At 33.5% G+C, this 24,107-nt stretch overlaps 1 pseudogene across 1 annotated transcript in view; it reads left to right on the top strand.

Moving 5' to 3' along the window:
• Nucleotides 1-15,807: 15,807 nt before the first annotated feature.
• The window catches only part of MTHFD2P1 (methylenetetrahydrofolate dehydrogenase (NADP+ dependent) 2, methenyltetrahydrofolate cyclohydrolase pseudogene 1), a 28,771-nt pseudogene continuing 20,471 nt past the window's right edge, over nt 15,808-24,107 (top strand). Inside the window, exons 1-2 of the transcript NR_077228.1 lie at nt 15,808-16,400; nt 17,876-17,999. The product of NR_077228.1 is annotated as a methylenetetrahydrofolate dehydrogenase (NADP+ dependent) 2, methenyltetrahydrofolate cyclohydrolase pseudogene 1 (transcript). The remainder of the gene's footprint in view (nt 16,401-17,875; nt 18,000-24,107) is intronic.

Genomic DNA, 24,107 nt, shown 5'->3' with positions numbered 1-24,107 from the left:
TGCATACACAGATAAGAAAAGTCACCAATAATTATTTATAGTCAAGATGGGACCTAAAGGAGAGAGAAGATCATATTTGGTATTTATTCTTGGAAATAGAATTAGAATAACAAAAAAGGAAACCCAAGAGGATGAGACAATTGAGATGGTTTTGAAGTGTAATTTCTGGATTCAGCGATAGCAGAATGAGAGCAAATCAGCTAGGAAAATAACACAAACAGAATGAAAAGCAAGGATATTGGCAAATATAGTTCAGGTCACCTGTATGGATAGGGCCATGTCCTTAGTGGGAAGAATGATTAATAGAAAGTAAATTACAGCCAAAATTTGGAAGCAATTGACTCTGAGAGTAAAAATACATATATATATCTTGTTTTTGACTGGCGAGAGGAGCTACTTTTGTTTTGAGAGCAGCGAAGTCATTGAACTTTTTCTTCAACACAATGTCTTACTCATGTGACACTCCACAAATTTGCCTTCTAAACTGAGTAACAGTATAGTGAACTATAATTATACAAGTTAAAATTATGAAATAGTCTTCAACTCCAGTATAACCTTAACATAAACATGTAATAATTTACAAAAGCTTGACTGTTTTACATATTAATATTTTCACCACTCCCTTAAATCAAATAATAGTGTCATCTGAACCATTACTATTATTATCTACTTTATTTCCTTTCTTTTTGTTTCTCTCTGTCTCAAAATATCATTCTCCCTGTCACTTTTTTTTCTTTTTTGAGATGGCGTATCACTCTTGTAGCCCAGGCTGGAGTGCAAGGGCTTGATCTCGGCTCACTGCAGCCTCCTCCTCTCAAGTTCAAGCTATTCTCCTGCCTCAGCCTCCTGAGTAGCTGGGTTTATGGGTGCCTGCCACCATACCTAGCTAATTTTTTGTATTTTTAGTGGAGACAGGGTTTGCCGTGTTGGCCAGGCTGGTCTCCAACTCCTGACTTCAAGTGATTCACCTGCCTTGGCCTCCCAAAGTTTTGGGATTACAGGCGTGAGCCACAGCGCCCTGGCTTCTTATCACTTTTAATCATCTCCCTAAAACACAGTAAAAAGCCTCATAAGTAGCTAAGTGCCAAACATTACTTTTCCTCTGAAGTTTTTCTAATCTAATAATAGTGTGTTGAATAATTTTGTAAAATGATTAATTTCAATTCGTACTGGATTCCCTTAGTTATTTTTCTAAAAGGTATATTTGGCAATGTGATTCTGTATGCAGAATCCATTATTACTGCCTTATAGTCAACAGTCTGGATCCTGTATAAACATCCAGCTCAGTCTTCGTACTTCTCCAGTACTCATCTCACATTGCTTTCATCTTAGTTTGTTTCCTGAAGCATTTTACCTTGTTTCAGACCTTCATGTTATTATACTTTCTATTTCTAATGTTTTCTTATTTCAGAGAGAGACATACAGCTCTTTTTGTTTAAATTTCTGTTAAATTTTATTACTCTGTGAAACTGTATTGTTTCCTTTAAAGCAGTATGCTATTTTTTCTTTAGTACCACTCAAGAGCTTTGAATATGCTTTTTATTACTTATTATGTAACTTAACTTGATATAATTCCCTCCCCATAAAGTATCCAAACTCTTAGAAAATGACTATGTTTCTAATCATTTTGCTTCAAACCTGTAGCAAAATTAATGCCTCATGATTGATGTTAAAGAAATGTTAAGTAATTCACATAATCAACTAATTTGGTAGGCCACATATTAAACCCTTCTATGTAGAATTTTTTATTTTATCTAGAGTTTTTATTCTGTTTACCCTGCTAAGAAGTCATCCTTCCAGCATTTTGTCTGGTTAATTCTGTTTGTCCTTCAGGGCTTGGACAAAGTTGCTCTGCCACTTTGATGCTTTTGCTTAAATCAAAGTGTGATTTTAGATGCCTAGCTCTCATAACTCGCATGTATATCTTCATCAGAATTGTAACATAGAACTATGTCATTCTTTATTCCTACTGTAAAATTTTGTGGGATATGGGATTTTGTCTTATTCGTGTTTGTCTCCAAGGTCAAGCTTTGCACCTATTACATAGTAAGAGCTCTGCATATTCATTATATGGATGAAATCCATATACCTACAATGGGCCTTCCCCATAGTTCCATGTGTAAAAATGTATCTCAGATAAACACTTGTTTAGATGACCTTCTTTGAATCCTTAAATAACACTAATCTCTAGCTTCTCAGTACATTTTATATAGGTACAGGGGTAGATTCTATATTTGTGGGGCCTAGAGGTTATATAATTGAGAAGTCAACTTAAATAAAACAAACATAAAACTACCTAAAAATACTGAAAAGGGTAATGAAAGTATGAAGCAATGAGAGTTTCATGGGAAATTTCATCTTTCTGATGTAAGTGATAAAAAGTTCCAGATTTTTTCCATTTTGATACTTAAATGTTACCATAACTGTTCCTTTATTTTTCTTTTCCTGAAAGTAAGGTTTACAAAAATCTTCTCTGTTCTCTATTATTAGTAATGAGTGTGCTGAACATTTTTTTTCAAGTGGTCTGTTTTTCTAACCTGCAGTTCCAAAGAGTCCATCAATAGATGTTTCCTTATCAAATAAGCATATTGTATCAGTAGGTATCTCCAACCTCAGCTATCCCTCATGCCACAAATATTTTCTTCCTATGACCCATAGGCTCATTAAGAATAGACACAAAGTTGACTTTTGCGTTCCTATCATTATGGCATACAACTCCATGACTCTTCATCTTATCACCCAACCTGCCCCCTATCAAATGAACACATGCTACCATTTTTTGTAGGTGACTTGTTTTAGTTTGTATCTCCATCAAACAAGGAACCCCTTTTTTGTAACATTGACTTTGATGCCATCTCTGACATTCACAGCTGGTCCTACCAATTTTGAGAATTAACATGTTAGGGAAACCTGAGAGCTGCCTGGTGGGAAACATATTCTCAATCTCATGCATGTAAATATACTTACCAAGATCCAGTTTAAGAGGTATCCCTAATATCCTAAGCATTGTGCTAGGCCTTATGGATTAAAAGAAGCTTGAAGAACTGCCTAAACCATAAAGGAGTTCTCATAGTAGGAGAAAAAATATTTATGCAAAATAATTTCAATAAACTGTTATAAATGTATGTGTAAAAGGTTTCAGAGAATGTAGTGATAGCAAAAGAAAAAAAGTGATATATAACCTAATGTGAGAATACTGGAAATGTTCAAAGGAAGGCTAAAGTAAAGAATTCATATTTAAATCGAGCTCAGTAAGTCCATGCCCTTTAATGCATGTGAATATATTTAGACAAAAAAGAAAAAGGTAACATCTAACAGCATGACTTGTTAGGAAGCTATATAGACCTCACAATTGCTGGTCTATAGGAAGTAAAAGATTAGTGGTAGAAATGAACCTGAGCAGGGAGGTAATGACAAAGCTGCCTGGGTCTACTATGCATGATAAGGAGTTTGGACTTCATAAACGGAAGAGGATACTAAATAACAAAACATATGTTTTGTTGCCTAAAATGTGTGAAACAGTATGCCACCCACTTAATACTTTCATTACATTTAATATTTTTTTTAACTTTTATTTTAAGTTCATGGGCACATGTACAGGTTTGTTATATTGGTAAACTTGTGTCACGAGGGTTTGTTTTACAGATTATTTCATCACTCAGGTCTTAAGCCTAGTATCCATTAGTTATTTTTCCTGATTCTCTCCCTCTTTCCCCCTTCCACCTTCAGCCAGGCCCCAATATCTGTTTTTCCCCTTTGTTTCCATGTGTTCTCATCATTTCGCTCCCACTTATAAGTGAAAATATGCAGTATTGGGTTTTCTCTTCCTACATTAGTTTGCTAAGGATAATGGCTTCCAGCTCCATCCACGTCCCTGAAAATGACTTGATCTCATTATTTTTTTTGTTCCTACATATTATTCCACGGTATATATATACCACATTTTTTTTCCATTCTACCATTAATTAGCATTTGTTGATTCCATATCTTCGTTACTGTGAATAGCGCTGTAATGAACATACATGTGCATGCATGTGCCTTTATGATTGAACAGTTTACAAAGGTCAACTCAAGATGAATTAAATATTTAAATGTAAAACCAAAAACTATGAAAACCCTGGAAGACAACCTAGGCAATACCATTCTGGACATAGGAATGGGCAAAGATTCCATGACAAAGATGCCAAAAGCAATTGCAACAAAAGAAAAAAATTGACAAATGATATCTAATTAAACTAAAAATCTTCTGCACAGCCAAAGATACTATGAATAAACAGACAACTTAAAGAATGGTAGAAAATTTTTGGAAACTATTTATCTGACAAAGGTCTAATATCCAGCAGTTATAAGAAACTGAAAAACAAATTTAAAAGAAAAAAACAAACAGCCCCATTAAAAAGTGGAAAACGACTTCAACAGGCACTTTTCAAAAGAAGATATATATGCATCCACCAAGCATATGAAATAAAAGCTCAACATTTAATCTTTACAAAGATCATGCAAGTTAAATATCTCCATTTGGAGATTTGTTCAAAAAAGAATATTTAGGGGAAAAAAAGCTTTGAAACTACTAAATGCAGACAAAATAATTTAATCTAATTCTGATTGTTTTAGAGGTCTCCGTACCTCCAAATTAAGAACTGTAAACTAGCATATGGTTCACGTACTGATATAAATATATTTGTGTTATATAAATTGATCTGGCCATATGGAAAAAGAAAAGAACTTGAGATATTTCAAGCAAGAGATGCTGAGCATGTGAACCAAGGCTGGATAGCACATAGGGCAATGAGAAGACACGAATATTTAATGATACACAATCTATAAGAATTGCTATAATGCAACAATTTACAAATATCAATGGAAATATATGAAAAAGAAAAGCAGAACAATATGCCAAGACTTCTTAGAATGTTAAATAATATTTTTCAGTCCGTGTTTAAGACAGAGTGATGCATAGGTATTTGTCAAGTGAGTGAGTAGAGTGATATCATTCTACACAGAAAAGATCTTCAATGTCTGTCCAACAATAGTAAATTCTGATACACTAAGACTGTGTATGGAGTTCCATATGTGAATGACAACTATATGTTGATGTAGCTTACTTGCATTGTTAAACAAGTAAACATTTACGTTGAAATATATGTCTCTGGTTTGCTTTACTGACATTGTCACATTCTTAGGAGGCTATGTGGATATAATATTAACATCTGGATTTTAAAAAGTGCCATTTTACTTTTCTGAATATTTGAAAGACTGAGTTTTTAAATATATCCTTGCTGTTATGTCTATAAGTCTAGGCAAAATATGTATGAAGAAGTATTCTGCATTGGAACTGTAACTGCAAAACATTTCCAACTATCGCCTGAAAGAGAAAATAAATTTTAATTTGTTTTATATCTATAAGTAAAAAATATTTGTAAATGTAAAGTTTAGCTTGACATTTCCCAAAAGAAAATACAGTTCAACTTTCCTAATATTTTATTTCCCATGTATATGGCCAATCTTATTAGTGTGGAGTCTTGCTTATGAGAAAACACATCAAGGAAAATTTTAAAGACTCAAAAAAGAAGAAAAAGTAAGGAGATTAGGAGAATTTTGTGTGTGGGGAACAACAACCAAAAAAACCTGAAGAACAGATTAATATTAATTATTATTTTTCCCTCTGGTTTGAAGTACAGGAGGTACTATATAAAGAAGACAAAAATTAAAAACCAAACAATGTGTAACTATGAAGCAGGATATAAAGCATTTCTTAAAAAGGAGAATTACTTTTACTTAGAAGAAATAAATAGATTATATATGAAACACAGCTGGATCATGTGTTAACTAAAATAATTATTGTGGCTTTTTTTGTACTTTATACAACTTGAATAAAGTCAAAAAGCTATGAAAACTGGATAATACATATTAGAAAGATAAAGACAGAAGTGTTTCTATGTGAAATTTCATCCCCAGTGCTAGCACAGCACTGGATCAAATAGTCATGTACCATGTGCCATGTCTGGATTCCACAAAATCAGAGCATGAGGAAAGGGTTCACCTAAAGGGAATTTATTTGGAAATAAATGATGGTTCACTTATTAGCACACATGAATAACTAGGAAGTGTGTGAAATGGGAAAGGAGGAAAAGGGAATTAGGAAAAGCCAATAAAGGATTAAAATAAACTTGGCTATCACTGTGGGTAACAGGTGATCAAGCCTACTGATAATGTATAAGTAGACTTATAAAATATATTTTACAATTGTTTATCTGAGTAATGCAAGGAAGAAGCTTTAGTGTATTTGTCTTAACTTCTATTGTTTAAGGATGGTCTTGGGGTGGCAGGGGTGAAAAGATATTAATCCACCTTAGTTCTGTGTTAGGTGTGGTGCCACTGAGTGGGCTCCAGCAGACATCCACACGTTTGGGATCATAAAATCTCTAAGGATAGAAGGAAGAGGTGCATGTCAGATGTTTAAAGTAAGTCAGTGTAAACCCCAAATGGCACAAAGCCTAGGCAGAGCTATTGTTAAAACCTGAGGCTGAAATCAGATAAGGTCTCAGTCAGATGAGGCCAAGATGACGTGAAGTCATGCAGAGGTGTCCATTAGAGCCCACTTCTTTGCAGTACTGCTCAGGTCTGCTCCTACCCCAAATCTACCATCACCACCTACCCCAATTCAATTAAATCCATCACCAGGTCTTCACTGTGGGAATATCAATAAACTCTATGGAAGACATAATTCAGAGAACCAATGGAACAAATTATATTTACTTTTAGTGTATAAAATCTAGTCAATATTACCTGAATTATTGTTTTAGCTGCATTTTTCTCAAATTTGTTACTTTTAAATCATAGGTGTAATTATATTTTGAAATCATTATACTTTCTCTGTTCCAACTATTACATATATATATTATATAAATATATATATATATAAAGGTGTCTTCCTAATAAGGATAATTTTAATTGCTCATTTTTAAAATGATTTCTTATTTTAATTTATTTGTATGTCTGTATGTATGTGGTATGATATCTGGCCTTTTTTTGTTGAAACTTTATTGATTTTATAACAAGAAATTTACTTACAAAAACATTGCCAAATACACGTACAAATCTAATGGAATGCTAGACTATGGAGATAAATCACAAACTGGATGTTACAGCTGGATTAATAGAGCAGTTCTGTGGACAAAGTATTTGGATGTGTCAATTTTTGAAATCACCATTTTTCCTTTTTAAAAAGTTTTTTAATTTTTTTCAACTTTTATTTTAGAATCAGGGTGTACATGTGAAGGTTTGTTACAAATGTATATAATGTGAACAATAGACACTGGGGGATACAAATGTGGAAAGAGAGGAAGTGTCACATTTGGTGTTTTGGGTTTTGTTTTGGTTTTGTTTTTTGAGGCAGCATCTCACTCTTTCACCCAGGCTGGAATGCAATGGTGTGATCACAGCTCAATGGAGCTTTGACCTCCTGGGCTCAAGTGATCCTCCCATCTCAACCTCCCAAGTAGCTGGGACCACAGGTGCATGCACTACATCCAGCTGGTTTTTTTCTTTAATTATTTTGTATAAATGAGGTTTTGCTATGTTTTCCAGAGTGATCTTGAACTCCTGGGCTCAAGCAATCAGCCCACCTTTGCCCCCAAAATGCCAAGAATACAGGCATGAACTACCACGATGGGCCTGTCCCATTTTAAATAGTGAATCTCAGAACTGCAAAGGCAATGCTTCTTGGAAGTTACCTTTCAGATTCTGAAAAGTATCATGGTGTTCTCCGTTGAGGCTTGCAGACACCCACAGTATTAATGTTAGATTGAATGATCAGGTACTTGATGAATGCCTGTATGCTTTCAGTATAGCAGAGATTTTCAGAATAATTTGTTATGTTAGCACAGCAAGTAGCCAACACACTTAGCAAATATTTACATCATACTTAAAAAAAGTTGTTAAAAGATTCATTGCATTTGTATTAATGTATTTCACATGTATAGAGCACTTAATATACTTTTCATATAGTATTTTATTTAATTCTCCTAACAAATGCAAGTGTTGGTAATATTTTCCCAGCTTTATATTAAAAAAAAAAAAAAGAAGCTCAGCTCTGTGAAGGTACCTCTCCAAATTCCAACAGCTAGGAGATATTACAGGTGGATGTCAGCACAAGAAATATGACCTAAGGTTGGTGCTCACCTATATGTTGCATAGATACATATTTATGGCAAAACCAACTAAATATTTTTTACTGCAATGTGATAAAACATTTTTGTATAAAGTATAGGTTTTTACTATGTTACATTTCCAGCACATCAGTTATGTAATGGAAGTAGCCTCAATATTATGTGCTAAGCATATTAGATATAATTCTCTTTTCTCAATCATGATGAGTATTTTCCACCTTTTAAAGATATGGAGCACAAAACTCAAAAAGTAAATTGCCCAGAATTACAATAGAAAAGAAAAGAGTCCCACATGCTTTATCTTATATCACCCTGGCAATATGAGGAGATTCTACACTAGGTGTAGGTATTCCATGCACTATCTTTTGCCTCCATGCTTTGAGGAGTGGAATGACAGCACAGGCGAGATGGGCAACCATCCAGCAGAACAGCGAGCATGAAGGAGGTGCTACCAAGTCGCAATACCAAATCCATATTATGAGAGTAATTCTACCCTATCACAAACCTATAACCTCTAGCTACGGTACATATGATTCTGCTCCATTTTCCTTTTCAGAATTCTCCTTGATATTCTTCAGCATGTTGTCAAATCTTATGGCCATGAGCCAAAGGGAGTACATAGAGTTTGATCTCAAGAAGAGCCAGGACAATAGACGTGGCTCTGATTGAGAAATACAGTTTATTTTCTGACATCATGGTTTATTATAATGCTACGTTGAGCATTATATATAAAATGCTAATTTTTCTGACTTCTTTTCCAACTAAGAAGTGACAAAAATCTACAAGTTAGAAAGAAGTTGATATTCGTTTTGTCCAGTTCCAACTCAATGGTCTGGGTTACTCTATTAACCATGAGCAAAGCCGCAATCACCTCACAGTAATTCAACATAGCAGAACAATTTGTGTTCAATAACATTAACCAATTAATCTATTGGAAACGTTTCATTTGATTGGCTTTTTATTGCTCCAATTTAAAAGCCATGAGTCTTTTTGTCATTGCTATTTATGAGACTAGTCAGCTCTATAAAATCTTTATCTGAACAAGGCAGAATAATTTAAAACAGGACTCAGGAAACTCTTTCTGTAAAGGATCAGAAAGTAAATATTTTCTGGCTTGGAGGACCACACCGTTTCTTTCACACCTACTACACTCTAGTGTTATGGAACAGAAAACACTGCCAATGTGTAAATAATTAACTGTGGCTCTCTTCCAATAAAACTTTATTCCATAAAATATTTTATGCACACTGAAATTTGAATTTTATCTTCATATGTAGTAAAGTATTATCTTTCTTTTGATTTTTAAATTATTAATAACAATGTAAAAACTATTTTTAGCCTGTGAGCTGTACAACAGCATGTAGTTGACAGGTTTTGGCCCATAGGTCATAGTTTGCTGACCCGTAAATTAAAGAATAGCATAAAGAAAGGAGACAAACAAAAACATTATTAAAAGGGACAATTGCTCAATATTAACAGTTGTTGCTTTATCATTTGTCAAAAATAATTTAAAATAAGAAACATTTGTCATGCGATTAATAAGTCTTTGGAAGACTGATTTGCTGTCCAAAAAAGATCAAATATGAAGTATGAGCACATTTATGCAAGTTGTAGGTATTTTATCAATTCCATCACTGACAATATTTGTAAATTTAAGCAGGGACATCATGTTTATACATTCTTATTAATCCTCCTTATTTATAAGAATGGTGCTCAGATCCAACTAGAAAATGTTACAAAAATGAGATTATGAATACTTCATGAATAAGTGAAAATTATGTCTCTGTCTTTATAATATAATCCATAAAATTGTAAATTGGTTATTTGTACAATGTTTATATGGGTAAGAAATAGGTATCATTTTGGAGATAAAGGATAAAAGAAGCATTATTTAAAAAAACAGTCCACCTCTGTAAATTCTCATAAAATTAGGAAGCAAATATGTCTATGATGAGCATAATAGATGTATATATTTGAATATTCATTAATTTGATTATTTTTGAGGAAACTTAAAACTTGTTTTGAATGAACTAAATTGTTTACAAACAAACTTCATCTTTTATGGCAAAATGACATCATAACACATCAGAAATTACAATAAAAGTCACAAGCATTTGTCCTGTTTTGAAGCAGATATTTCATACAAACTGCAAAAAAAAATACATACGTGTATCTATTGATTGAAAAATAAGCTTTATATAATATAAATAAATGATCACAAGATCCAAAACTCTTCCAAAATCAAAATAGAATACTAGTAATTACATAACTACCCAGTGCAAGGTCTTCTAATAAGCCCAAAGAAGATAAACGAAATATGTAACAGAAATGTTATGATATTTTTGTTTTCCTCTTTGTGTTAAAAACCAGTATCCAGGTACCTCAGATTTGTTAAAAAATAATTATTCTGTATTCATTTAGATTTGTATATTTATTTATTTATATTAAAATAGATGATGCTCTTAGTTCCCTAAATGTTTTTGAAAATGATCAATTGATGTTTGTGATGATATCTATAAAAGACACAGTAAAGGATTTTAATTTTGTCTAGTGAATGTGTAGGTTAGATAGACATTAAAAGATTGCCTTTAGTTTAGGATTCTGTAGCCACAGAAAAATAAGGCAGGGAACAAATACTGATTTAAAAAAAAAAAAAAGAAAAAAAGGTATTTATAAGAATACTAGGGCCAGGCACGGTGTCTCGTGCCTGTAATCCTCTGAGGTCAGAGCACTACTTAAGCTCAGGAGGTCAAGACAAGCCTGGGCAACATAGTAAGACCCTGTTTATACAGAAATACTTTAAAACTAGCTAGACATGATGACATGCACCTGTAGTCCCAGCTACTCAGGAAGCTGAGGTGGGAGGCACACTTGAGCCTGAAGGATCAAATGAGCTCAGGAGATAAAGCTGAAGTAAGTCCTGATCACACCATTGAACTCCAGCCTGTGTGACAAACAAGACCATGTTTCAAAACAACAAAAAAATTCTGAGGCCATCGTGGTGGTAATACAGTTTTTGAATCCAAAACTTCTTGTGAAGATAAGACAGGAATATCTGGATATCAAAACCAAAAATAACATGGGCAACATCTGCAAAAATCCTAGCCAAGAAGGTATTTTCAACAACGCTAAAAAACAAATGAGTGGCAAAAATCACTAACAAGCAAGCACATGATATTTATAAGATCACCTTCTCTTGGAGAGAAACAGGTTGAAAGCAATGAGGTGTCTGATGGACCTGAGAACAGGAAAAATACATACATAAGCAACAGATATTTCTAGAAAACATTGAAGTCTAATTTGAGAATAGCATCTGAATTTTGGACGGGTTTCATCCAAACATTGCATGAGAGTAAGGGTGGCTATAAGGTCAGAAGGAATTTGAATAGTTTAGTTCAAATTTACACTCAAAAGTGACGAATCAAAGAGCAATATGAAGTAAGGGCTACACATTTAAGAGAAATGTCTGGAAATTAAATAAAAATTGTACTGAAAGGACAGCAAAGAAAAAGACGATCCAGCTAAATATAAGAGACAGGAAAAGAGCCAGGAAATCTCATAGAAAATCTCCATAATTTTTCAGACTATAGATAACAATGGAAGATCTGTGAAATCACAAAATTATCTTGAAATGAAATTTCTAAATTTTTAGGGAACCAGATTTTATATAAAAGCGAGCTACCAAAAATAATCAAGGTCAAGTTTCATACAACACTTTTTTTTTTTTTTTTTTTTTTTTTTTTTTTTTTTTTTTTTTTTTTTTTTTTTTGTCGCCCAGGCTGGAGTGCAGTGGCGTGATCTCGGCTCACTGCAAGCTCCGCCTCCCGGGTTCACGCCATTCTCCTGCCTCAGCCTCCCGAATAGCTGGGCCTATGGGCACCCGCCACCACGCCCAGCTAGTTTTTTGTATTGTTAGTAGAGACGGGGTTTCATCATGTTAGCCAGGATGGTCTCGATCTCCTGACCTCGTGACCTGCCCGCCTCAGGCTCCCAAAGTGCTGGGATTACAGGCGTGAGCCACCGCGCCCAGCCCTTACAGCATTTTTATTAGGAAACAGAATAACAGAGTTGCAAGATAAGGAATAGCAGAATGGCATTTCCACAGACAATAAAAACAAACTTACCAGTGAGATAAGCATACAAAAGCGATCGGATTATGAAACTATAATCTACTATTCAAATGAGCTGAAAAAACAAATTGTATGAAAAATATAACGTAATTAGAAAACTCAAATTGGATTGCAGATCTTTGGAAAATAAAAGAACAAAATAAAGTGAGATTTGAAGATTAAACTGCAACTAACACAAGACTGTTTATATGCAACAGATAATTTTGTTTCAGAAATGGAAGAAAAAGAAGGAACATTTTTTAAATTTTCAAAATATAAGAGAAAACATAAAGGGATTTAAGTAAAATGAACAACGAAGATTAATAAAGAATATGCAACATTTCAACGTAAAGAAACACTGAAGATGAAAATAATAGGGAACAGAATAAATACTAAAAACTATATTTTAAGCAAACTTTCCAGGATTAAAAAGATATGAAATTACTTATTAAAGTAGCTTATAATATTCCTGAAAAGAATGGCTAATAACATATATTATCATAAAATTATTGATATTTAATCACAAAGAAAATAAAGTTTCTTGGGAATCTAGACCAGGAGTTGCCAAACTTTCTTCATGGATGGCCAGATAGTGAATATTTTAGTATTTTAGGCAGTCTGCCTAAACAGACAGTGAGATGGATTCCAGTTGAGACCACTGTTTGTCAATCCAGATCTTGTTACCCAGGCAGTAAGCAAAATACCTGATAGGTAGTTTTTTTTTTTTTTTTTTTAACCAAACACCTCCTCCTCTCTCCAGTAATTCACAGTGTCTGTTCCCAAAATGATAAAGTGCATAGACAGTCTGTTATTATCAATGCAGAATCAACAGAGAATATTGCTTTCCTTAGGTCTTTAGAAATCTACTAGAAGATGTGCTTAACAAAACCGAAGTGACTAGAGACCTAAGGAACACTGATAACTCTTAAAGATACAGTCATTTGCAGACTGAAGCAAAGTAGGAGATAGATATATAGATATATAAAGAGAGAATACGTAAGTGCTGTATGCTCTGACAATGTGGTTTTACTGGTTTTGTTGTTGTTGTTGTTGTTGTTGTTGTTAGTTTGTTTTTTGAGATGGAGCCTCGCACTGTCAACCGGGCTGGAGTGTAGTGGCGCGATCTCGGCTCACTGCAACCTCCGCCTCCCGGGTTCAAGCGATTCTCCTGCCTCAGTCTCCCAAATAGCTGGGATTACAGGTGCCCGCCACCAGTCCCAGCTAATTTTTCGTATTTTTAGTAAAGACAGGGTTTCACTGTGTTGGCCAGTCTGGTCTAAAACTCCTGACCTCGAGATTCGCCCACCTCGGCCTCCCAAAGTGCTGGGATTACAGGCGTGAGCCACCGCCCCCAGCCATGGTTTTACTGTTTCATAATAGTGGTTATTCTCTATAAATATAACACATAAAAATAAAAATATGAATATATATTTATATAAATTAAATATAAATAAATATTAGAAGTATCTTTATGAACCAAGATACACACACACACACACACACACACACACACACACACATACACACACACACATGGACCTGGACCTGTGCCGGTGGTGATTGTCATGAAGAGCTTCTTTGATGAGGAGCGGAATGCAGAGCAGTTGAGTCTATGGAGACATAGCATTCTTAGCATGATGCTGCCACGATGCATGCCAGTCTTCAAAGCTTAGATTAGGGTGAAAGGCCAGCAATGATCAATAACGTGAGAAAAATGTGGGTCTTATTGTTGTTCTCTTCAAATCACAATAATAATTGTTATGGGCAAAATACGCTATATTCCTATGAGGCTAAATAAAGTAGACAAGAGGCTACCAACATGGATGCAGTTAAAAAATTATTTTCAATGACAATTACCGTTATGGAACCTCTGTGGTATTTACTGACATAAAACAAACAAAACACAAAAGGTGCCAGAAATTTAATATAGCAATAGTTGAAGAGAATATAGACCATTTTACATCAGAGGAAGAAGTAAGTCTGCTGGAGAATGGAAAAGTTCAAAACACTAGTGTGCTCAATATTCCTCATGGTTGGCAGAGACTGGTCATTTGAATGCATTTGAAGAAAGGAGCCCGGAAACTCAGAAGGTATATTGTAAAATGCTGATAAAAGCCAGTAAGTCTTACCAAATGGCATAGCAAGTGGTATTTTCTTTTAGCCAAAATCTATGAAGCAATATGCTAGTCTATCTGTTTATACATTGTGTGAAGACCAAAGGTCTGTGATCTGGGCATTTTCTTATTCTTTTTTCATTATTACTTTAGAGACTAGGTCTTGTTATATTTCCCAGATTGGTCTCAAACTGCTGGGTTCAAGTAATCCTCCCACCTCAGCCTCTGGAGTAGCTGGAACTACAGGTGTGTGCCACCATGCCTTACTGAAGTGGATAATTTGAAGTACCAAAGGATGTAGTAATCGATGGTTCTACACATTCAAAAGTATAATGTTCTATTCTCAGTTATAAGAACAGAATGAAAAAATTCAATTAATGTAATAATGAAATATGTATATTTGATTAAAAACATTGTTGACATGCGCAGTGTATGGAATATCATTATGTCATAAGTAATGACATCTAGTCAATTGTGATAATTTATTTTAAAAGAGTAAGGTTCCAATTAAATCAGAAAAAATCTTGCTGGAGATGAAAAAGCATCCAGATCATATAAGAGATTTCTGTCTGAAAGAAACATTCAAAAGCAAGTGTTTAGTGAATAATTTATGAATAATGAAAAAGCTGACACTGAAATCTCAAAAAATCTTCCATTTCTCTTGAAGAATAGGGTGAAGATTCTTAAGAGTAGTGTCTCTGTCACTCCTGCTGTTGAAAAAATCTCCATGATCTTCTTTTAGAAAAAGGACCTTCACCTAACTCAATGTGGTCTGAAGTGCCTGCAAAAACTTTGATTCCAACTTTTTTTTTCGTCATTTAAATCTTGAATGGGAACACATACGGAAGTGAACATAATTGTGACTTGACACTTTTAATTTTAATTGGAATGCTAGATGAAAAACTAATCAAGGAAATCCAGGAGGCTTCTCCCATTTCTGAAGAACTATCTAGAGATGTTTGGAACCACAGTTGCTTTTGATCTGTGCCATTTTGAGCCTTCTTTGATGAATGATGTCAAATGCCTTTTTTGTTTCACTCCCTTTGAAGAACCATGCCATTATTCATCAAAGCCCAATTCAACCCTGATGTTTTATTCCAATATGTGTGCCAAGAAGAGATCTGGATGTTGGATAAGTGCCTCTCTTTATTCTAAGTGTGGGAGGGGATTTAAAATATCTTGAAAAAGAGCTCCACAACTTTTCTACATTTGGGGAAGCCTCAGCGATGAGCAATTACCAGTAATTTTTTTGTTATATATCCTAAAACATTCAGTTTCATAGCATTAATGCAATCGACTGTAAGGTGCAATTTTACTCATAATTTAAGAAAAATGCCAAGGAATGACAGAGTTATTTTGTAAAAACTCTCCTCCCATTCATGTGGGGATACTTCATTTGTTTGGAAAGAACATATGTCTTTGATGTAAGTCATGATAGTACATCTTTAATGACAGTTTTCATGATGATGCTTTTGGCTCAACCCATAGACTAATCCAGCGATGAAAGTTACAGCTATCATGTTTATGTCTTCTGCTTTTAATGAGACTCATGTGTCCAGAAATGCTATCTCTGAAATATTCACTGGGTCTTAAGAAACATTTGGAAATATTTCATTGAGGAACAGCAGTCTTGCTGTCCTCTTTTATTTACCTCGTCTGATGTTACTATTAGAGTATCTCACCTTTCAATAATTATGGTCAGATGTGTCATGTTTTTCATTTCCTCTGAGTTCAGTAGCCATGTTTTACCATGGATTGGTCTATACATTTTATAGTCTTGGAAACTGGAAAACCATCTCAGTTAGCTTTTTGTGACATTCAAGAAAAGTATTTATTCTAATCTATTCTCAAACTACAAATAGGCTTTTCCCTCTCCCCTCACCCAATCGTGGATGAAGCAAGCTCACTTGGATGGAATTGCTTGCTCTCTTCCTTCTCATTCAAGAAACCTTCTGAAAATTCATTTCTTCATTGTGGTGGAACAACTCCAATTTCCTGGATATTATGTAAGTACATAAGTATATACCTGTTTGTCATCACTACCCTAATAGAGTTTTTCTTACAGGTACCTGCTGATGCATAAAGCCTGAATAAATATCAAGCCTTTTAAGGAATTTCATTTTTATAAAAAATTGTATGTACTTCCAGATTTTAAATATATTTTACTTTGATTAGTGACACTGTCATTTGTTTTCAACTTACTTTTCCTTTTCCCCCCAAAATTGTGCATTTTTGAGCCAAACAAACTGTAAAGTTCGGAAAACAAAAATAAATTTTTTGGTTACAATGCAGAATACCTTTTAAACAGTAGATAGATGTCTGTATTTCCTGTAGCATCTAAAAATATCTTTTGGTTTTATTTCAGTTAATTTACCAATTATGGAGATTAAATTGTTTACATTGTCATAAAAAGTGTAATTTTTTTTTCTAATTCATAAATTAAAAAGTTATGCCAAGTAAAGAAGAAAAAGGAGGAGAAGAAAGAGGAACTAAAGATTGAGTAACAGGATTATTTACAAAAAGTATCCGAATGTTAATATCAGTCTTTCTTACTTTACATTTCAATTTTGATTTCTCATAATTACCTTAAAGAAGCTCCTCTATGTTATCAGATTTATTTTTTCAATCCCTGTGAAAGCAAGAAATTACTTTGCATCTAGATTCCCTGGACATATGAAATAATATGAACACAGCAAATATCTTAGAATATAAATTATTTAAGAATGAATATTCATGGTTAATTTTTATTTTAAATCATTAAGTATTTAATATGTTTTATTTAATTATTGCTTTAGATGTGGAATTTTGTTCAAAATGTAACTTCGTAAAACTGACTATTATAAGAAAGTTTATGCAATGAATGTTTAATTACCACATTTTCTTAAATTTATCTGAAATAATATTTCTTCAAATATTTCATCAGAAAATCATTTGTAACAAATTGAATCTCATAAACCCTATAGCACTTATAATCTTATAAATCTATAGCACTTATAAGATTCTTATGTTTAATTCTGGAGATAATTTAATAGGTAAAACTTCTTGTGATTCACAGAATACTGTAAAATATCTTATACACTCTCAACTTTTTTTAATTTATTTTTTCTCTTTTTGTCCTGTTTCAGTAAATTGTCTTTTCTTCTTATAGAGTAAGTATAAGTTTATATTCTATTGAAATATTTTATTGCAATTTTACATAAAAATCAAGGGTCACTAAATTAAAAGTCCAAGAGCCTATGGGAATAAATATTTTTATTTATAGAGGTAAATTTTTTTTCTTTTTTTTTTTTTTTTTTTTTTTTTTGAGACAGAGCCTTGCTCTGTCCCCCAGGCTGGAGTGCAGTGGCGTAATCTCAACTCACTGCAAGCTCTGCCTCCTGGGTTCCGGCCATTCTCCTGCCTCAGCCTCCCAAGTAGCTGGGACTACAGGTGCCTGCCACCATGCCGGGCTAATTTTTTTTTTTTTTTTTTGTATTTTTAGTGGAGACGGGGTTTCACTGTGTTAGCCAGGATGGTCTTGATTTCCTGACCTCATGATCCACCTGCCTCGGCCTCCCAAAGTGCTGGGATTACAGGCGTGAGCCACCGCTCCTGGCCTGACAGAGGTAAATTTTTGTAATTCGCTAAATTAGTTCCCTTCCTTGGAAACTTTTTTGCAGTATGAGAAAAAAACAACAACAGCAGCAAACAAAAACAAAAACAAAAACAAAAACCCTGTTTGGTTTGGTGACTTCTTATGAAGGCAGAAGAGTTAGAGACAGAATGTCTTTTGGTATATTTTTGGAAAACACTTCACTTTAACATTTTTCAGATCCTCAGCTACTAATAAGTCTTCTTTTTTGCAAAGTGTGTGGTGACATTTTAGACGATTGATGATCTGCATGCCTTTACCTCTCCATTTGAGCCGCACAGAATGACTGTGATATTGTACTGGAGAAAAAAGACTTAGTATTACCCACTCATCACACTTTTATTTTAAGACAACTTGGCACAACAATTAGATGCATTGTGTATTATCTCATGCATATAAATTACCTATAAATTAGGAAGATTTTTATGATTGATTTTAAAACTTAGAAACATAAGTTGTTTTAATTTATTGGCTTCAATGTTTGGAATTCTTAGACTCAAACATAGCAATATTTTCTACTGAAATTAAATTGTAAGTTAAGAATATAATTATGAACTCTACCTTAGAGGCAAAAGATTATTTCTGATAAATATAGATATTTTGAAAAAGTTATTTTTTCTTCATAAAATTTATAAACTTTTAGTAAATAAATATCTGAATGTTCTCAGAATTGTAACCTTCAGTAAAGTATCTGTCACTTTGTTACTGCATATCACTTCAATATAATTTAAGGTCACTTAGTTTTGATAGCTTAGAGCAAAGATTGATAACCCTTAATCTTTATTAAGCTGTTTTATTGAAGACCATCAAGATTTAATTTTTAAAAATCTTACCACTTGTTAGATAAATGGCTTATGAGTCCCGTTCTTTTCGAACTTTTCTAATTAATCTGAATGTCATTTGAGAGGGCAGGGAATAGAAGAGTTGGGAAAAAAAAGTCTTGCAGGCTAACTCTTACAAATATGATTTTTATCAATGTGAACTCCCAGATAATGCCATCTGTGCTAATCCCTAACCCTCTCTACTGTAGTGCTTTAAGTTATCTTTCACTTTGATTTATCAGACAGCTGACCCTAGCCTAGCCCTGTCAGCTTTAGTTCAGAGGAACTCTCACAAAAGATAGTCCTCTGATCTGACAAATTGATTGGCTACAAGGAAGTTTAACTGGAAAGGAATCTCCCTAGCAAGTGATAAAGTCCTCTTTTTATTCCCAGCTTACAGCTTTGGGTATGTGGATAGAATTTATAAAATGGCCAGCAGAAGATAAAAAGCATTATGAGTAATTTGGAAAGCTAAATATAGGGGATGCAATAAAAGGCCCACAGGTTTCTGTTTAATGACAGGTCTGAGGGTTTCAGCAACTATATTTTATTTAAGAGCTTTAAGTGGAGGCTAATTGAAAATGATCATCCTAATTAGAAAACAAATATTAAAATTCTCTTAGTGTTTCCCAGCTGGCTTCAACTGGAGCATAATTATTAGGTGTGAGGATAATAAATTACAATCTATAGAAAAGCTATTAATCAGATTAAGAAACAGGTTGACACAATATCCTTTCTCTGATGAAGCTGATGAGTAACTTCTGCCTATGACACTTTGATTCTTGTCACATAATCTTACTATTCTCAATCAATACTCTAGTACATTTTTATCCAAAAGGTGTATGACATTTATGGTTGAATTTCCCTCAGGTTTTAAGAAGAAAAATGGAGTTTTTAAATTTTAAAAAATTGAAAAAGTGTTAAAAAGCCAATTTCAAATCTAAAAGATCCATTTTCTAAACTATTTTGCTATTTTAATTATACCAAGCTGCAAAAATTAGGGTTTGCTCTTCCTTCCTTCCTTTCTTCCTTCCTTTCTTCCTTCCTTCCTCCCTCCCTCCCTCTCTCTTTCTCTCTTTCTCCCTTTCTCCCTTCCTCCCTTCCTCTCTTCCTCTCTCTCTTTCTCTCTTTCTCTCTCTCTTTCTTTCTTTCTTTCTTTCTTGTTTTGATGGAGTTTCACTCTTGTTGCCCAGGCTGGAGTGCAATGGTGTGATCTTGGCTCACTGCAACCTCTGCCTCCCAGGTTCAAGCGATTCTCCTGCCTCAGCCTCCTGAGTAGCTGGGATTACAGGCATGCACCACCATGCCGGGCTAGTTTGGGAATTTTAGTAGAGATGGGGTTTCTCCATGTTGGCCAGGCTGGTCTAGAACTCCTGACCTCAGGTGATCTGCCCACCTTGACCTCCCAAAGTGCTGGGATTACAGGCATGAGCCACCACTCCCGGCCATATTATTGATATTTCCTTCCTGCCTTCCTTCTACTTTATCTATTTTCCCCTTATCCATTGTACCCTTTCATTTTTTTTCCATATTTTCAATCCATGAAAGGTATGTACAAAAATGAACATCAGCCTATAACTTTTTCTTAGGGATATTTATGATGACTCATCTCCTTCTCATGATGTATTCCTAAAGCAGACCAAAATCAAGGATAGAGAAATTGATTTCATGTTTTGATGGAAAGAGCTTACATCACTGATTCAACATTGGGAGGCAATAGAATATATATCTTCAGTCCTCATTTATGCCAGGAATGGAGATGTGGAGCCCAGAGGAAAGGAAGTCATCCTGACGTGAAACAGTTAAAAATTATCCATGATGATAACATCAAATTGAGAGTCCAGCTGTGCAGCAGCAAAGATTACACCAAAGCAGTGCTAACCCTACTCCCAGTAAAATCCTGTGGCCATCTGAATGGCCATGCTAGGAATGACATGACTTTGTAGGTTTCCTCAGTACCTACCCTGCTTTTATTCTAACTTGATCCTCTCACCTTCCTGGCAATCATGTTAGCCACATGGTGACATTCTGTTTTATTCTACATCTGCCAAGGTTATCCAGAGTAGGTTTGCATTATATGTAGTTTTCTCATAAGATGTTGTTGGATGAGGGAAATAAATACTTTAAATTGACAGACTCTAATTTTAAAGTTAGGTATCTGAAATAATATTGGAGACATTTTCCAAGAATGAATACAGGTCTATTACTTGTAAGGACACAATTATCCTTTCAATGATGATGTTAAATAAATTTGTGAATAGTTTAATAAATATTATAAATAAACAACTAATAAATAAACCCTCTATTTATAGTACCTAGCATTGCCATGCATAGAGTAATTTTTCAATAATTTTTTAAAGATTGGCAATAACCAATACATGTAATTGCATATCTTATTCAAGTCAGATATGAGATTCTAGGATAAGAAAAAAATTGACTGGAAATCTTTTAATTTATATTCTAAATTAAATATATAAAAACATATTAATATTAGCTAAATTCTTTTTGTAAAATATTTTTATACTTTAACACATTTTAATGTGATTTCTTCTATCTTTTTAATGTTCACCACTTTTTAAAAACTACCAAATATTTATAACTATTTACAGCTTTATTAAGTAAATTACTACTTCCAGGAAACTGCTAAGGGTAGTAATATACACCCTTCATATTTTTAATTTTTTAATTACCTAATATGTTACTCATAATGCTTTTTTGTTAAGGATGATGCTAGATATTGGTTTAACAAAAAGAAAATAAAAGGAATTTGACAAAATAAAGCAAGGAAAAGGAAATAAAACCTCATCAATAATATGACCTAGAATTAAGGAAAAGTTAAATTATATTTAACATTTTGAAATATACTAATTGTATATTTAAAAACAAAGAAAAGAAAATATGTCTAATAGAATATGACCCCTCAACATACTTCGTATCTTAAAAGTCAGGTTAGATTTTGTCTTTTTCTTCGCTATATTAGGTGGAGTTATTTATTCCAATATTCAGATATTAAGGGCTGGTGAGAAGGATCAAACTGAGACAGTAAACCATGAGTGTTTATGTTGCTGAGAGTCCTTGTCTGCTAAATATCTCCACTTCATGTGAGTGGAAATTTCACCAAGGACTTCATAATTTCACCTAAGTTACTATTTGGATGGAAGCTGCCATTGTCCACCCCCAACATCTAGTTACGCAGAAGTATCTGAAGTCCGTGTGTTCAGTCTCAAAACAATGACAAAAGCAAAGGACCCTTAGACATACAGCATTTGGGGAGAAGGTACTTTGGAATTGAAAAAAAAAAAAATAGAGCACTCCAAGCTAATAAGGTAAGAAATGGTCAGTTCTGTTAGATGTATGCAATGTTTTAGAAACAAGGGTTGTTTTAAATTTGTTTGTTTTAAATAATAATGGCAAAAGTTTCTGAAAAAGTAAACTTCAATTGTCAAGGCAATCTATTACTAGGAATAACATTTTCCCCGATAATTTATTTTAATGACGAGAAATTGGGTTTATATTTAGCTATAACTTATGTCTGTCTTTGGGACAATCTCACTAAACATTTGATTATCTCCTTTTTGATTTATTTCTCAGATCTTGCTTCTGCCTTAAAACCATGGTGAATATTCACCTTCCTGTGCTGCTTCCAACATCTGCTCACTGCATTGTGGCACAGCACTTCTCTGCCCCCACTCTATACCTGATATTTCTAGCTAACGATTTCTTCCATTCCTCATTTTACATGAAATAATCATAGCCATTTCTTTCTAACAACATTTGTGTTCTGTCTCTCAATTTCACAACTGTTCTAGGTAAAAGTAACAACAGTCATAGAAATAATAATAAAAAGAGTGAATATTCCCTTTATGTTGTTTTAATTTAGCGTTCAGCTTAGACCAAGAAACACTGATGTTCTCAAAGAAACTGATCATGAAACTCCTTTTTGTTTATAGATCCAACTGGAGACATTTCAGTATGCCAATCTTAACAAACGTGCTATAAAAAAACAAAGATATTATAAGAGTAGCAGGTTTGTCAAATAATGTTATTGAAAATGCTACGAAATCTGAAAATAAAGTACTATACTTTCCTCTTTAAATTTTTGATTAGGCTACATGTCAAGTTGCACTTCTATATTTAGCAAGGTATAGAGTAACTCTTGATTTAGTAAGTGAAAAGATTTTTCATTGACAAGCTTTTTTTGAAAAAATCTTCTATACATAAATCATTATAAAAGTAGCTTGAACTACAGAACTCTAATAAAATGTTATTAAATTCGAAAATATTTTGGTATATATTTGATATACATTTTTTATTTCTTTTAATGGAAAACTGAATTGAATCACCCATTTTTTAAAAGTATCTATTAACCACTATAAAAGCACAGGCATCAAAAGCACAGACTAGATACCAATATTAAAGGTAAATTTTTAAACATCTTTGGTATCCAACTGATGTTTACAAGAACTGGCATTTTTGCATACTTTAAAATAATGTTTGCATTTTATAAGCTACACATTTTTGTTTCAATCTGCTTTTAGTACGATGATGTATCATGTTGAATCATTCAGTCATGCTGGTTTTGATCCACATGGTTTTCAAGCCAGTTGAGTTATTTTAAGCACAGCATGAAAGAAGAATTTTCTCTTTAATCCAAACCATTTCCTTCACATAATGTCAATGTATACATGAGAGAATTAGCAGAGATTTTGCCAAGTATGCTATGATACACAATAAACAAAAGGCAAAGTACAAAATTATTTTGTTTTTCAGTTAAAATTATTCCACCTTAGAAAGTGTTTTGAAGTAATAATTCTTGAAAAAATTTTAACTATAGTTGCATATAATAATTTCATACAGGTTTAATATTTGCTTATAATGCTACAAATAGGAGAGTATTTAAACAGAAATGCCATTTATTTCTGTAGTTCTTGATGATCTTCTAGGTACACATAATAATATATCCTGTTCTCTAACAATTATGAAACTAATTTTTCATAATACTGTTATTAAATTCATACATTTTTTTCCTCTATCTAAAATCAGTCTTGAACTATTTATTGTCACTCGTTTCACATTTCACTGGAGGGGAAAACACAAATAGTTCTGCTATCCTGTTTTGCCTATGAAATATTTCCTAACAAACATTGCCATGTCAAATATAAGTGGATTGGCTTTAGAAGATTAGTCAAACTGTTCTACTATTTACCTGTGAAAATTGAGGTCATGAGTTCACATAATGAAATGAATTCCCTTACACAGTA

Source organism: Homo sapiens, chromosome 3, assembly GCF_000001405.40.
Source record: "Homo sapiens chromosome 3, GRCh38.p14 Primary Assembly".
In the NCBI taxonomy this organism is placed as follows: domain Eukaryota; kingdom Metazoa; phylum Chordata; class Mammalia; order Primates; family Hominidae; genus Homo; species Homo sapiens.
The sequence above is the reverse complement of the archived record's forward strand: the minus strand, read 5'-3'. Positions and strand labels throughout refer to the sequence as shown.